Source organism: Homo sapiens, chromosome 2 (assembly GCF_000001405.40).
Source record: "Homo sapiens chromosome 2, GRCh38.p14 Primary Assembly".
NCBI lineage: Eukaryota > Metazoa > Chordata > Mammalia > Primates > Hominidae > Homo > Homo sapiens.
The window spans coordinates 238,497,327-238,513,015 of record NC_000002.12 but is presented as its reverse complement, the minus strand read 5'-3'; the positions used below and the strand labels follow the sequence as shown (position 1 = coordinate 238,513,015).

The window sequence follows — 15,689 nt, the reverse complement described above, 5'->3', positions numbered from 1 at the left end:
CTAAAAATACAAAAATTAGACAGGCATGGTGGCAGGTACCTGTAATCTCAGCTACTAGGGAGGCGGAGGCAGGAGAATCGCTTGAACCAGGGAGGCAGAGGTTGCAGTGAGCTGAGATCGCACCATTGCACTTCAGCCTGGGTGACAAGAGCGAGACTCTGTCTCAAAAAATAATAATAATAATAAATAAGAATAAAAATAAAAATTACAGCCATTAAGGCTCAGCAAACTGCCTTTGGTCCAAATCCAGCCTCACCTCCTGCCTGTGTAAATAAAGTTTTATTGGAACACAGCCACACCCATTGTGGCTTTCTCAAAATACAGCAGAGTTGAGTATGTGTGACAAGGACCAAATGGCTCACAAAGCCTAGAATATTTACTATCTGTCCCTTTACAGAAAACATTGCCGATTCCTGCCCTAAAACAAAACAAACTCAGAAAAGCTGAAAGTAAAAGAGTGCGCAAAATGTGTGGCAGACAAATAAAAAAGTCTCTGCCCACATGAAACCTTGCAAATGACATCATCCCTCACTGGGTGCTGGTTCTCCTCCAGTACCTTCACTGCCCTCAGCCAGCAGCCACAGTGGGATGGGAGCAGCTCCAGACGCGAAAGTGCAGGGCTTGGCACAAGGCGGGGCTGGGTGTCTGTGCCTCAGTAGAACGATGGGCTTTGCCCAGCCATCCAGGCAGAACACTTCAGCCGGTGGTCAGAAGCCCACCCTACCTTCTGCAGCATGGTTCCAGCCCTAAGCCCAGTTACAGCCTATCATGAATTGAGTTCCCCAGGAAGAGGTCCCTGGCCTGGGGATGACTGCAGGTTTGCAGGTGAGAGCACACCTGTGGACAGGGTGCGCCCTCCTGGGGAGGGTCCTGCTTGCCTCTTCTGGCTCCTGGGGGCTGTCAGCACTCCTGGCTGTGGCCCCATCTTTCCCATACCCGGCATTGTCTTCACATTGCCTTCTCATGTCTGTGTCTGTCCTCTTCTGTCTCTTACAAGGACATTTGCTGTTGGATTCAGGGCTCATCTTCATCCAAGATTATCTTAAGATCCTTAATTTTATCTGTGCAGACCCTTTTGTCCATGGGGTCCCATTCTCACCTTCTGGATACACATCACTCTCGGGGCCGCCATTCTACCTGCCTCATCTGTGCGCGGCAGTCTGGACCTAGAAGCTCTGTCCCCTCTGCTGCCCAGTGGAGTCGAGTGCCTGGCACCCAACACCCAGACAGGGTGGCCACCAACCTGGTTGAGGGGACTGTCCCCAAGATGATCACAGAACATCAGGCAGGGCTCCTGAGCCAGCGCCCCCCCCAAGCCTGCCTCGCTCCCAGTACGGCCGGAAGAGTAGCTGAGGCCAACCCCTGAAGCAGCCAAGGCGTCCTCTATGCCCAGAAGTGCCAGGGATCGGGGGCTGCCCAGTTCCAGACAGGGTCATCACACTCCGACCTTCAGAGGGGCCCCCCGCCTGCCAGCTCCAGACAGGGCCATCACACTCCCGATCCACAGAGGGCCCCCCCACGCCTCCCAGCTCCTGACGGAAGCGCCTGTCCAGCTTCACCGACCTCCATGCCGCTGCCTGGGGTCTTGCTCGAACGCAAGAGAACACGGGTCTCGTTGAGGGCTCCTCTGCCCCGCATCTCCTGCTCCTGGACACCCAGGCCTGCCCTCACCACTGCTGCTGGACACCGGGCAGGGGTCCTGGCCACTCTTCTGGAAGGCCAGTCTGACGTTGCAGGCGCAGCCACTTCACTGTTTGTCCTTCACGGTATGCCAGACTCCCTCCTCCCTGCAAGAGCCTCTCCCAGGGCCCAGTCCTCCCCCGAGAGGTGCTGATGAGAGTGGAGTATGGAACCATCTGCCAGCCAACCCCAGGTGGCCTCTCGGGGGTGCCCTGCCCCACAGGGCCATGCACGGTGTGGCCCTCCCCGGTGCTGTCACGTCTGAATGTGGCCCTGCAGACTTGCCCCCACTGGGCTGGAGCACATCCCCTGGAATCTGATCCCAGGAGCTCCGGGAGCAGCTCGCACACAGCTCCATGGATGCCCCTCACAGTGGGAGAGACAGGAAAGGCCAGCTCCGAGTCTCACACCTCACTCTTCAAGCTGGGAAAATGATGCTGTTACCTTGGGAGGTGAGACCCTCCAGATGGGAACCTCGACGCTGGGAGCTGGTGTGTTCCCGGAATTCGGGGGAATATTTCATTCCCTGCGTATGGTGTCTGGACTTTCAGATCCCTCCTCCCAGGCACCCAGGCATCATTTCACAACCCCATGCTCAGCAAGCCCCAGAGAAAACTCCTCAATAAACTACGAGTGTTAATACCCGATGCAATAAGATGTGATTAAATTTTACACAAGGGAGGGGTGCAGGTACTTCAGAATCATAAAAACAGCTTTTCCACAAAACTGTCAGCATTAGACACAAATATGAGAGCAAAGGGGCGCTCGGGCTTACTCACATTGCTCAGTTTGTTTACACTAAGTCCGCACAACATGAAAACACCTGCTCCACTTTCACAATCAGTCTTCTCCATTGTGCACAGGAAAGTTATAGTTTGGAGAAGGTTTTTGTATTTCAATAATGCCACCCATTTTGTGGTGTTTAAAGAGTGAGAAGATACAAGGCTTATTTAAAAACTAAAAGTATCTAGACTCCTCCCAAAAGAAATCTAGATGAAAAACCCGAAGGAGGGCAGCCAAGTGGTAAGGCCTTCCGAAATCTGCGATGCTGACCCCCACCCCAGCAGGCCGTGGCACAGAAGGGCCTGGGGTGGCCGGGAGGTGGAGGGTGGGCACAGCCCCTGCCTCTCCCCATTCCCTGAGGCACCCACCTCCAGGGACCCCTTTCTAGTAGGTTAAATGGGTGCTCATGCTCCACCACCTGCCCCAGCAAGCAAGCTGCAAAGCGGGCACCAGGCAGGCCCACCCAGCTGTGTTATCAGAAACTGAGGAGGACCAACTGCCCCAACCAGAGAGAACTAACAGAGACCCCCAGAAGGGCAGCAGGTCAGAAGTCAAGTGCAGGGGCCCTGCACCCACTCCCTCGCTGTGGGACCTTGGGGTGTGACTGAAGCCACGGACTCACTGAAGCCACTTTTCTCACCTAAAAACTGGGGACCTGGGTCGTACCTCCAGGATGGCTGAGGGAAGTGCCTCGACACGGCAGCAGTTACTGCTGTTCGGAGATGCAGCTGACGAAACACACCCTGGGAAGAGCAGGCCAGCTTAGGAATGAAACCAGGGTGGGCTCCTATAGATGGTGGAAGGAACAAAAGCATTTAATCACCCGCTCCAGAAGCCCAGTGCAGGGAGCAGCAGGGGACTTTTAATGGCATTAATCCAGAAAGACAAAGAGAGCCAGGAGAGGCTGCAGCAGCCAGGGTTGTGCAAGGGGAACTCCCAGCAGATCCAAGAAAGCTGACTCCTCAGCCAGGAGCCCATGCAGCCCAGAAGCAGCCTGGCTACCTGGGGGAGGCTTGGGAGGTGCAGGCGAGGGTGGCTCCACTGCCTCTGGAGGTCAGGAAGGGGGCCACATGCAGAGGGGTGGTCGGAGGCCTGTGTAAGATGCTTCAGGCTCTCTCTGTCCCCTGTGTCCGATCAGAAGACCAACTGTTTCATTCCCTGGAGAGGGTGACACTGAGGGTGAGCGGACAGGGCGAGCAGAGTAAACAGATCTTACACACACTGTGCACAGACCCGCACCTCCATTCCAGCGGGCTCCCCAGGGCTGAGTCAGACTCGCCCCTCCAATAAGGAAAGACCTAAAGATGTGGCTGCATCCGCAGCCCTCCAGCCCCAGGCACTGCTCCAACACCCTACCCTGAAGCTACTGAAGGGCAACCCTACCTAGGGTGGCCAGGTCAAACACAGGACCCAGAGAAATGTGGATTTTAGATCAACAACAAATCATTTTTTAGTATAAGTATGCCCTATGTAATATTTAGAACATACTTACACTAAAAAAATTCCAAATATAACTGGGCTTTCTGTAATTTTTGTTGCTGTTAAATCTGGCAACTTTACTCCCACCCACACACACACACACACACACACACACACAGCTTATACATGTTTTTTTCACATCTCTCTCTTAGGTGACAGCAGACAGCCAAGGAGCACCCCAGTTTTGAGGAAAGCTCTGACAGAGAACAAAAGTGGGGCCAGCAGCAAGTTACAGGAAAGACAAAGCTGGAAGAAAAGCCGAGGCATTTCTTTCCGGCATCAAAGGGCTCCGTGATGCCCTGTGGGCGGCGTGCAAGGAGACCCACTCAGAGACTCGTCCTGTGGCAATTCAGGACCCTGGTGCAAACACAAGCTCCTACAAGTTTCCAGACAAAAACAAGGAGGTTTCACAATGGATTGAGAACTAGGAAGATGCTGGGACTTCTCAGCCACAACCTCAGAAGCCAGAAACCAGCCAGGCACGGTGGCTCATGCCTGTAATCCTAGCACTTTCGGAGGCTGAGGCGAGTGGATTGGATGAGCTCAGGAGTTTCAGACCAGCCTGGGCAACATGGTGAAACCCTATCTCTACTAAAAAAAAAAATACAAAAAAATTAGCCGGGTGTGGTGGTGTGCCCCTGTAATCCCAGCTACTTGGGAGGCTGAGACATGAGAATTGCTTGATCCTGGGAGGTGGAGGTTGCAGTGAGCCAGGATCACACCACTGCACTCCAACCTGGACGACAGAGTGAGATTCTGTCTCAAAAAAAAAAAAAAAGCCACAAACCGAGGAGCAGTGCCCGCAAAATTCCGAGGGAAATGATTTCCACTCTGGAATTCTAAGCCCAAACTGTAGAAAAGAAAGATATTTTCAGAACTGCAAGATCTTCCCAGGTCACCACCTTTGCATCCTTTCTCAAGAGGTTCCTGGAGGATAGGAGCCACCAGAGAGCCAGCAGGTCAGCCAGCAGAGAGGGAAGCTGGGAGGCAGAATGGAGACCACTCAGCCCCAGCCAGGAGCAGAGGGGGTGCAGGGGCAGGGACATCCCCAGCCAAGACCACCGCCCAACAGCCACCTTCCCTGGAGCAGGGTCCATGGTGTCAGGAGTACGCTCTTCACGAAGAGGAAACAGAGACATGGTTTGTAAGGACATTTCTACAATTACGGGAGAGGCTGGGGTTGTCGTGGTGATAAACACATAAAAACAATGCAAATGAAAACATCATTAACTCCGGAGAAAACCAAAAGTTGTTCAGGTAAGAGGTCATATTATTCTAATGGCTTGGCTGTGAATAGTAAACGCTAACTATTCATCTTGGTGAAATGGTGAGATGCTGCTGGAAAAATGGAGGGATGGGATGTGTGTGTGTGTCTGCGTGTGTGCGTGTGTGTGTATGTGTTAGAAAGAGACACACAGAGTGGCCGGGCATGGTGACTCATGCCAGTAATCCTGGCACTTTGGGAGGCTGAGGCAGGCAGATCACCTGAGGTCAGGAGTTCAAGAACAGCCTGGCCAACATGGTGAAACCCCGTCTCTACTAAAAATACAAAAATTAGCCAGGTGTGGTGGCACGCGTCTGTAATCCCAGCTGCTTGGGAGGCTGAGTGAGGCAGGAGAATTGCTTGAAGCCAGGAGGTGGAGGTTGCAGAGAGCCCAGATTGCGCCACTGCACTCCAGCCTGGGCAACAAGAGCAAAACTCCATCTCAGAAAGAAAAAAAGAAAGAGACACACAAAGAGACAGAGACAGAGAGAGAGAGAGCAGAGGACAGAATATGGGTCAAGGGTGAAGAGAGAAGGGGAGCCTGCCCTGAGGGAAGCCAGTAGACGATGCCCGAGGTGAAAAATCAGAAGTGTCAACATGAACATGTTATCCTAAGATATCCAGGTAAATACGAAAATAATTGGCTGAAAGACTCAAAGCGTTTGCCCCAGAGAAGGAACTGCAGGACAGCCCCGTGGAAGGGCTGCTGCTTTGCCTTTAAATTCTCTGCATGTGTAACTGATACAAAGAACAAGAAAATTTTTAAAGAAATAAAGTTTTCAAAAATGTAGGTAGGTGTGGAGTGAGAGCCGGGATAAAGATTGCGCCTTTTCAGCAATGGCTATGATTTAATATATGCCCTGGCAGGAAAGTGCAAACGTCTGGGGGTGGGTGTTGGCAATTGCACTGGGGAGGGCATTGGCCCTGGACCTTCATCTCACACACGCACGGCCCTAGCACCCGAAATCACACAGGTTCGCCGTGAAAATCGTTTGCAAGTACAGGCAGCCTCAGGCCAAAACCTCAGCGGCCTCCCTAAGTTCCTCCTATGTGGAATGCTGAGGCCACCTGTTCCAGTTTCTTCTCACTGCTGTAACAAATTACCACAGTTTAAAGCAATAGGAATTTATTTTCTTACAATCTGAAGCTCAGAAATAAAAAATCAGTCTCGCTGGGCTACAGTCAAGTTGCCAGCAGGGCTGGATCCTCGTGAAGGCTCCGAAGGAGAATGCATTTCCCTGCTTTCCCAGCCGGGAGGGCCCCTGCAGGAGAATCTCCCCATCCCGAAATCCTTGACTCCATCACATCTGCAAAGACCCTTGCTGTGATCTGACTGTCTGCGTCCTCCCAGAATTCGTGTGTTGAAACATAAACTCCCAGTGTGATGCTGTTAGGAGGCAGGACTCTGGGAGGTGACAAAGTCACAAGCATGCAGACCCGTGGATGGGATTAGAGCCTCATGAAGGGGGCCCCAGAGCACTGCACTGGCCCTTCCGCTGTGTGAGGACACAGTGAGAAGGTGTGTAACTAGCCTGAGAACCAGAATTGGGGTCCTCTCCAGACACCGCCTCTGCCAGTTCCTTGATCTTAGACTTGCCAGCCTCCAGAACTGTGAGAAATACATTTCTGTTGTTTCTAAGCCACTCAACCTGCAGCGTTTTGTTAGAACAGCCAGAACGGACTAAGATAGGGGTCCCCGACCCCCCAGCCATGGACGGGTACCCGACTGTGGCCTGTTAGGAACCAGGCCACACAGCAAGAAGTGAGCAGCAGGTGAGCGAGCATTACCGCCTGAGCTGCCTGACCCCTGCCTCCTGTGAGATCATTAGATTCTGAACTGCACATGCTCGGGATCTAGGTTGCCTTATTCTCCTTATGAGAATCTAATGCCTGATGATCTGAAGTGGAACAGTTTCATCCCAAAACATCCCCACTCCCCTCGGGTCTGTGGAAAATTGTCTTTCACGAAACTGGTCCCCGGTTGGACACCACTGGACTAAGACATCCTTTTGCCATCTAAAGTTACGGTCACAGGGACCGGGGATTAGGGTGAGAATATCTTTGAAGGCAGCCACACAGCCCACCACAGCCCTGCAGTCGGTGACGTGGCAACAGAAGCCAGAGGTTAGAGTGACTCAAGGAGGGGGAGGGCCACGGATGAAGGAAGGCGTCTGCAGAAGCCAGAAAAGACAAAGAAATGTATTTTCCCCTTAGAGCCCCCGGAAGGATCCACTGTGGACTCCTGACCCCAGAAGCGTAAGAGAGAAAATGAGTGTTGTTTTAAGCCACTGGCTGTGTGGTCATTTGTGGCCACAACCCTGGGAAGCAATGTGGCCTTCGGGTAGCGCCTTCCTGCAGCTGCCTTGGGGCCCTAAGGGGCCTGAGAACCGAGAAGGAACCAGGAAACAGGCTGGGCTGTGCCTGTGGGTAGTTCTGGCTCCTGAGTGCAGGGGTGGCTCTGGGTGCCAAGCAGGGTCACATGTCCCAGTCCCTGAGTCCACCAAGAGTGTCCAGGCATCTGGAACACCTGGCAGTGAAAGGAGGCCGGCTCCTTGGAAGCCACAGTGACCAGTGTGCACAGGCATTGCACAGAGGGCAGATGTGAGGGGTGCTCAGTGTGGCCTCGGTCAACACACTACCTGGCCTCCAGCTCTCCAAAGCCATTTTAGGCTGAAGGTGGTCAGTGAATCACATCTGAGGGCGCAGGGGCCTTGGCCCTCCTGGCTAACAGAGTTCCTTAGGAGCGCAGAACCCCAAACGGAACCGCCTTGGAAAGTCCACCCAGTCACTGCGGGGTCTGGGTGGGGGTGGAGGTGCAAGGTCCCCAGATATTCTCGGAGATTTTCACACCATCTCAGCACCACATTCAGAACTCAGCCTGCGCCGGTTGCAGCAGGAAGAAAGAATTATGACTTGTGACTTTGGAAAGCGAGAAGCTGCCCAGATTCCCCCTCCCTGAGACATTTGGGGTGGGAAGTTCAGGGAGAATTTTCAACTGCAAGACCAAGGTGATTTAGAAGGTAAAACATTTGCGTTTGTGTCAAATTTCCACACCTTCCCCCTCCGGATCCCACCGCCCCTGCTTCCCACACAGCATGGCTCCCCCCGCGGCCCGCATGATGACAGCCGGCTTTGGGGGCTCACGTCTGCAGGTTAGAGCCCCCCCACCCCGGCAGCCCTCCAGCCCCCTCGGGGCTCCACCCAAGCCCTTCCTCAGGCTGGATCAGATCCCCAGGCCACCCCGGGGTGGAAACTCGCCCTCCCGCTGTGGCCCAAGCACTCATACTGCCTCCATTGTCCGGGCAGCCCAGCTGGCCCGAGGCCAGCCTCACCCCAGCTATTACAGATTTTTCAAATCCTTCCATTTATGTATTTGGTTTGGTAGCTTTAGGTTGATGATGTACTTAATTTCACCACTATATTGAGTTTGAATGAGCTGAAAGCAAAACACGCAAATAGAGAACAATGCCTGGCCAGCCCCCACGAGCCCGGAGAACAGGTGTTTCCCATCGGCAGTCTGCTGCGCGCCCTTGGCCATTTTCCTCCTGGAGCTATAGGTGCGCCCCAGGCGTTTTCTTTTAGGCAGCTTTGGGATCAGTGCAGGTCCCAGGGCCCAGCTGGACTCCCTTTGGGACTGCTCTTTCTTGGGACTTTTCAATACAGCAGCGTTAGCAGGAGGGTTCATCTGTCACATAAATATCTGATCCTCAGGGGTGGCAGCCCCCAAGCTTTTCCCACTCCCAGCAGATGCAGAATAGCATGAAGATCTGTGGACAAACTGGGCAATCTGCTCCTCAATCCACCCCTCCCTCACTTTAGAATTTGAACTCTCTCTACTGTTTTGCAAAAGTGGTTTTTGTAAAGGTAGTAAAAGGACAGAATCGCAAAATAAAATGGTCCAGTAGGTAAACCCAGGTATTTTAGAGAAGTTGCTTCTCTCTAGGCTTCCTTTGATGGGGGGCCTTGCTTCAGGCCAGTGACAGAAGCTTGCCTCAGTGGCGGGGGGGGGGCCTCAGCAGTCACCTCTCCAGGTTCGAGACCTGAGCGCACTCCAGCCATCCCAGTGGCCTGAGTTCCAGGGCGTTGTGTCCACACCTCAGCCACAGGGCCAGCTGCCTGGGCGGGCGACCACACAGGCCCGCAGTTCCCATGCTCGGAAGGGGCCCCGCACGTGGTGGCCACAGCTCTGTGGTCACTGTCTTGAGATTCTTCATAATTTTCTTTGAATGTGTTTCGTAAATGAAGTCTGATGGGACAGTGGAGCTCACGGCTCCCAGCAGCCCCACCTCCACGGGATGTGTGCTCTGCCCTCACTCAGCCCCTGGGCGGGAGGGTCAGGGTCAGGCGCACACAGCCCACCTCCCACCCTGAGTGCCAAGTCACAAGGTAGGCCGGGCTCCTGTGTGGGCCATGCATTTGCCTAGCTCTGCCGTGGGGGTGGGGAGAGGGTCTGCCATCCAGCCCAGAGGCCTCTGCACTTGGAAACAGCCATAGAAATCCAAGCAAGCCCTGGCCTCGGGACACATGTCTACAAAGCCCAGCTTGGCCTCTGCCACCTCAGCCCAGAGTCCCCTACGCTTGGAAACAGCCCTCCCATCCAAGCAGGCCCAGAGAAGGGCCACTGAGAAGACCTACAAGACACCCCACCCAGATCATCCACATCCGTCTCCACCCTGAGCTGCACGGCACTGCATCGCACCCCTTCGTGGCACTCACTGTGATGAGATGATGCACATTGAATTCTTTTTTTTTTTTTGACACAAGTTCTCCCTCTCTCACCCAGGCTGGAGTGCAGTGGCACAATATTGGCTCACTGCAACCTCTGCCTCCTGGGTTCAAGCGATTCTCCCTCAGCCTCCTGAGTAGCTGGAATTATAGGTGCATGCCACCACAGCCCAACTAATTTTTGTATTTTTAGCAGAGACACGGTTTCACCATATTGGTCAGGCTGGTCTTGAACTCCTGACCTCAGGTGATCCACCCACCTTGGCCTCCCAAAGTGCTGGGATTACAGGCATGAACCACTGCACCTGGCCCGAATTCTTTACAGATACACAGTGAGAGAAGTCCAGCTGCAGCGAGGCTCTGCTAGTCACTTGCTGAGTGACCACAGGGAGTTTCTTAATCTCTCTGTGCCTCGGTTTCCTCACCAAAAAAACAGAGGAGACAGACTCTCTGCGTCAATGGGACAATTCACGTGAAGAGCCTGGCCCAGCACCCAGCTGACACCTCATGGGCCTCTGGAGCAACTTGCCCCTCTCCTGGACCTGCATGCACAACTGTGCTTGGCCACACACACAACACACACTCATGCACACACACATATACATGCATGCACAAACTCATGCACACATACTCATGCACACACACTCATGCACATACACATATGCCTACACATACACACACACACACTCATGGACATACACTCATGCATACACACTCATGCACACACGCACACACACATCCACACGCACACATACACACTCATGCACACAGACACACTCATGCACACATACACACATACACACTCATGCACACACACGCACACACTCATGCACACAAACATACACATGCACACACATACACTCATGCACACACACACGCACACGGACACACTCATGCACACACATGCACTTGCACACAGAGATGCGTGCACAGGCGCACACACACTCATGCACACGCACACACTCCATGCACACACACACATGCACACAGAGATGTGTGCAGACATGCGTGCACACACACACCCTCTCAGTGAACACAATCCATATCTACACTTGTGTTTCTTACAAAGCCCAAACGTGGGCCTTGAAGATCACAGGCAGGAAACAGATATTTCTTAAATAAATGAATGAATAATATATTCTTTACATCATGATTTTCTTCCGTCTGTTAAGTCCCCAGGAGATTCTACTTTGGGCTTTGTAATTGCATCCTTTACTAATCTGAGACTTAACACACATATTTTTGTTTTATTTCTAATACAGTCTAACTTAACCAACAACCCGAGGCCAGAAGCTGTCCACAGGACATTTACTGTATGCTCAGAGGTGGGTGACCTCTAAAGCCCCCACAGAGCTGAGCATACAGTAAAGGCGTCAGAAAAGTGGTTGTGCCAGTGAATGAGTGAATGAATGAGTGAACGGCCTGGTGTCCTCATGGCCAACAGGATTTGTCTCCACACTAGCTTGGAGCTCTGTAGAGAGTGGTCCTGAGGCTGAGTCTGTCCTCCATGAAGAGGGATTGCTGACGGGCTGATGGTGTCTGTCCTGGTGTGAGAGGTGGCTGTTGGGCCATTGATGGGCTGGTGGTCTCTGTCCTGGCATAGGAGGTGGCCGTGGGGTCGCTGACAGGCTGGTGGTATCTGTCCTGGCATGGGAGGTGGCTGTGAGGTCACTGATGGGCCATGGTGACTATTCTGGTGTGGGAGGTGGCCAAGGCAAGAGAGGGCTTCGCCTGTGCCAGCCCAGATAGCCCTTCTAATTTTAAAGATAAGAAAACTGAGGCCTGGAGAGAAGAGTGAGATCCTGAAGATGAGCCCAGGTTGGTTTGAGTGGAGAAAGAAGGAAGAGCATGGCGCCCACTCCAGGAACTCGGCAGCCCAGGAGTGAGACGAACGTCTCCAGTCCGAGCTCGGCACTTGCAAATAGAGGCAGCAGATCTTGTACCGCCTGGGCCGGTGTCCGCCGCCCAGTAGTTACCATATTGCAGGGAGCGGGGTTCGATATGAAGGACATGGTCAATAGCTCTTTCTTTTTTTTTTTTTTTTTTTTTTTTTTTTTTTTTTTGAGACGGAGTCTCGCTCTGTCGCCCAGGCTGGAGTGCAGTGGCGGGATCTCGGCTCACTGCAAGCTCCGCCTCCCGGGTTCACGCCATTCTCCTGCCTCAGCCTCCCAAGTAGCTGGGACTACAGGCGCCCGCCACTACGCCCGGCTAATTTTTTGCATTTTTAGTAGAGACGGGGTTTCACCGTTTTAGCTGGGATGGTCTCGATCTCCTGACCTCGCGATCCGCCCGCCTCGGCCTCCCAAAGTGCTGGGATTACAGGCGTGAGCCACCGCGCCCGGCCTAGCTCTTTCAATACCCTAAACCCACTCAGGCTGCCAACATCGCATTCTGCAGGGTAGTTTCCATTCCCTTAGTCAAAAAAAAGAGAAATCACTTAATATGAAACTACAAATGAGATTAATATAAAGATTTTTAAAGTTTATTTTGCTCTGACTAGGACCCCAATAACTATATGTATCTGTTACATAAATGCAGCCCCGGAGTATTATTTCATGAAGCTTTGGAGTCCTCTAAATTCCTCGCCAGCCCCAGCCCTGTGAAAAGAGCAGAATTCAAGAACCGCAAGAGCATGCACTTGGCGGCACAGCCGCCCGGTCACAGGGCCCTTTGTGCGACTGCACATACTGTGGCTTGGGGCAGAGAAAACGCTTTTGCCAAAAGGGTTATTATTACCTGAACCGTGATTCATGCGAGTGCTTCCCGGGAGGGGTGTTTTATTATGATTTCTCAGCTCTCAGCTCCTTCTTGCCCCCAAAGTGGGGCTGGGCTGCATTCCTGTGATACTGGGCTGTTCATAAAACACAAACGGTCCATTCACTGTGCCCCAGGGGCTGCTGGAGGATGACTCCTACCTCCCAGCCTGGCCCTCCAGCCACAGTCCTCGCCCCAGGGGAGCCGGCCTGGGGGTCCCTATAGTGAGCCTGGCTGCAGCGGCTGCATCCTGGCATCAAACCTCTTTTCCTCTGTTCTAAGTGGCCAACCTTCCACAGTCACAGAAAGCAGCCATTATGGATGGCACTGCAGGACCCCCATTCCACAGGAAGGAAAGGAGGCCACCCCTGTACCGGGTCCCAGGACTGGGCACATGCGTGTGGTCAGGTCCCCTCAGTGTGTCCTGGCTGTGCCAATGGCACCATTGGGCTGGGCTGCTTCCGCCTTGCTCATCCCCTAATGATGTCAAAGGAGGACACAGACCACGCACCGAGAAAAGGAATCTTACTCACAAGTAAGGTTTGCAGGAGGGTCAAGCTGGAGAAAGACGGCTCACCAGGAAACATACACCAGGTATTTAAAGATAAGACATAGGCCGGGCACAATGGCTCACGCCTGTAATCCCAGCACTTTGGGAGGCCGAGGCGGGCAGATCACGAGGTCAGGAGTTCAAGACCAGCCTGGTCAACATGGTGAAACCCCATCTCTACTAAAAATACAAAAATTAGCCGGTCCTGGTGGGCGCCTGTAATCCTGGCTACTCAGGAGGCTGAGGCAGGAGAATCGCTTGAACCCAGGAGGTGGAGGTTGCAGTGAGCCGAGATGGCACCACTGCACTCCAGCCTGGGCAACAGAACGAGACTCTGTCTCAAAAAAAAAAAAAAAAATGAGACACAGACAAGATCCCACAGCTATCACGTTTACAGCAGGTCTGTTCCTGCTTTTTGGTAGAAAAATGGCCATTTTTAACATGATTCTCCTACCTGGACAGTCAAAGCAAGTATTCCTACACCCAGCATTGCAGGAGTCAGAGAGACTTACAGGAAGTGTCCAGGTTTCTTTATCTAGGGGGCATGGAGCTTACGCCCCTAGAGCTGCCTGGGCCTCCAGCCTCACCCACCTCCACAACTCACTTCTCACAGCCCCGTCTCTCTGCCCCACAGGAGCGAAGGGAGACCCGCTTTCTTCCTGAGGCAAGAACCCTCGTGCAGGAGCCCAGAGCCCAGTGGGAAGGGGCTTCCTGTGTGGCTGTGGGCTCTGGGGAGGCTGAGGTGGCTCCCTCGAGTTCTGCCACTCTCCCCAGAGACGAGGGCTTATTCCAGGAAACACGGCCCCATAGCTAGCTCGCCCAGGAGGAGGCCGCTCATCCATCTGGAACACAGTGCCCTCCAACTCTCGGAGGGAGGGGGGCCTGCCCGAAAGAGGCTGGCCTTGCTTCTCTTCATCAGGACCACACCCTCCCAGGAGCCACCTGAGCATCACTGCCCCTCGCCCAGCCCCATCTCACCCTCGGACCTGCACATCCCACACGGCGGCCGCCAGCCATGGGAGGCCACCAGGCACATGAGACAAGGAAGCTGTCACAGAGGGTTTTTAAACAGAGGGTTTAATAAAACACATTGTTAGAGTGGATGGCCCCGGTTTCTTTTTACTGTTTTAATGCAGCATAGACACAGCAAGAAGTCACAGCAGGTGCCCTTAACAGACGTGGCCTGCATTTATGTGCAGTGTCCACCATTGCCCTAGATCATCCTGGCCACACTCAGCTCCATATTCACCCCCCAGCTCGGCACAGAGCACCTGCCCCTGCTGGTAACTGGGTCCAGAAGGTCAGAAACTCCCTGAAGTGAAGAGTGGCCTCAGGGAGCCTGGATCGCAGGCCTCGTGTCCAGCTGGCCTCCTCCCTGGAACAGTCCCGAGACCTCCTTGATCGGCCCCTCTCCTGGTGCCCTTAGGGACCCACCTTTCCCCCAGTCCCCATGCTGCCAAGTTCCTCCCCAACCCCCTGCCTCCCCTTCATCAGAGAAACAGGAGCCTCCGCTGGAACCCCCTCCCGCGTGGCCCCTTGAGGACTTGGCCTAGCCTGGAATTGCCCAGGCCTCTGTAGGACCACCCCTCCCTGAGGGCAGGGCTCGGAGGGACTTCCTCCACCAGGCCTCCATTCAGCACCCCACTCGCTCCATCTCTACCCCGTACCCTGCTTCCTAGCTCTTAACCCCATCTGATAGTCAATCTTCACTTATTTTTCATGAAGCCTCTGTCCTTCCACTAAAATACAAGCTCCCTGCAGGCCCAGACTTTCACTGTCCTTCACAGCCTGGAAGACGGACAGTGAGAGCCAGCCCCATGTGGCCCATGTCCCCACATCCCCATGTGCAAAGGTGCCTGTGTCTCAGAGGCTGAGGGGCTTTTCTGTCGCAGGCCTCCACCCACACTCGCCAGTCTCCCTAAGCTCCATCCACTCCCCTTCCCATCTCCATGCGGCCCCATCCTGGGTCTCTCCCCTAGCCCACTCAGGGTCTCAGCCCTCTCGCTGTGTCTGCCTCTGCTGCCTTCTCCTCCAACCTCTTGTCTTCTGAGTGAAGCTACCTAAGTGGCAGTGTCCCCAGGGTCCACCCACTCCCTGCGTGCTCTCTCCAGGGAGCTCGTTGATGTCCATAGTTGAGCCCCCTGGGATCCTGAGGAGTGTTTTTGAGGGGATATTAAACTGGATTGGGGTGGGCACATTATCATGAGCTTACAGGACAGGCTGAAGTCAGCAGGTATTTCAAACCCTGCCCGGGCTGTGGCTTCTCCCGCCTGGACAGGTAGTGACAGCTCTCCAAATCTGCGGTCCTCACCCATCAGGGTACCAGCTGCCTCCAGGGTGCCTGGGCCAGCACCACCCTCACAAGAAGCCAGGAGTCTACTCCGGACCGATGGCCACATGAGACCCTCGGAGAGTCAGGGGAAGGGTGGGGACAGGCTCACTGCCTCCTTCTCT

At 53.8% G+C, this 15,689-nt stretch overlaps 1 long non-coding RNA gene across 1 annotated transcript in view, besides 2 other annotated features; it reads left to right on the top strand.

Moving 5' to 3' along the window:
* Window positions 1–2,326, top strand: part of LINC01107 (long intergenic non-protein coding RNA 1107) — a 44,810-nt gene extending 42,484 nt beyond the window's left edge. The window contains exon 3 of the long non-coding RNA NR_037809.1: window positions 1,070–2,326. This is a non-coding gene — a long non-coding RNA (long intergenic non-protein coding RNA 1107). The remainder of the gene's footprint in view (window positions 1–1,069) is intronic.
* Window positions 2,651–3,336: an enhancer, noted in NCBI's record as "NANOG-H3K4me1 hESC enhancer chr2:239418321-239419006 (GRCh37/hg19 assembly coordinates)". NCBI's record gives its function as "activates a minimal SCP1, AML or CMV promoter by ChIP-STARR-seq in naive H9 embryonic stem cells {active_cell/tissue: H9 hESC(naive)}" and the evidence as "EXISTENCE:reporter gene assay evidence [ECO:0000049][PMID:30033119]".
* Window positions 3,337–4,024: an enhancer, noted in NCBI's record as "NANOG-H3K4me1 hESC enhancer chr2:239417633-239418320 (GRCh37/hg19 assembly coordinates)". NCBI's record gives its function as "activates a minimal SCP1, AML or CMV promoter by ChIP-STARR-seq in naive H9 embryonic stem cells {active_cell/tissue: H9 hESC(naive)}" and the evidence as "EXISTENCE:reporter gene assay evidence [ECO:0000049][PMID:30033119]".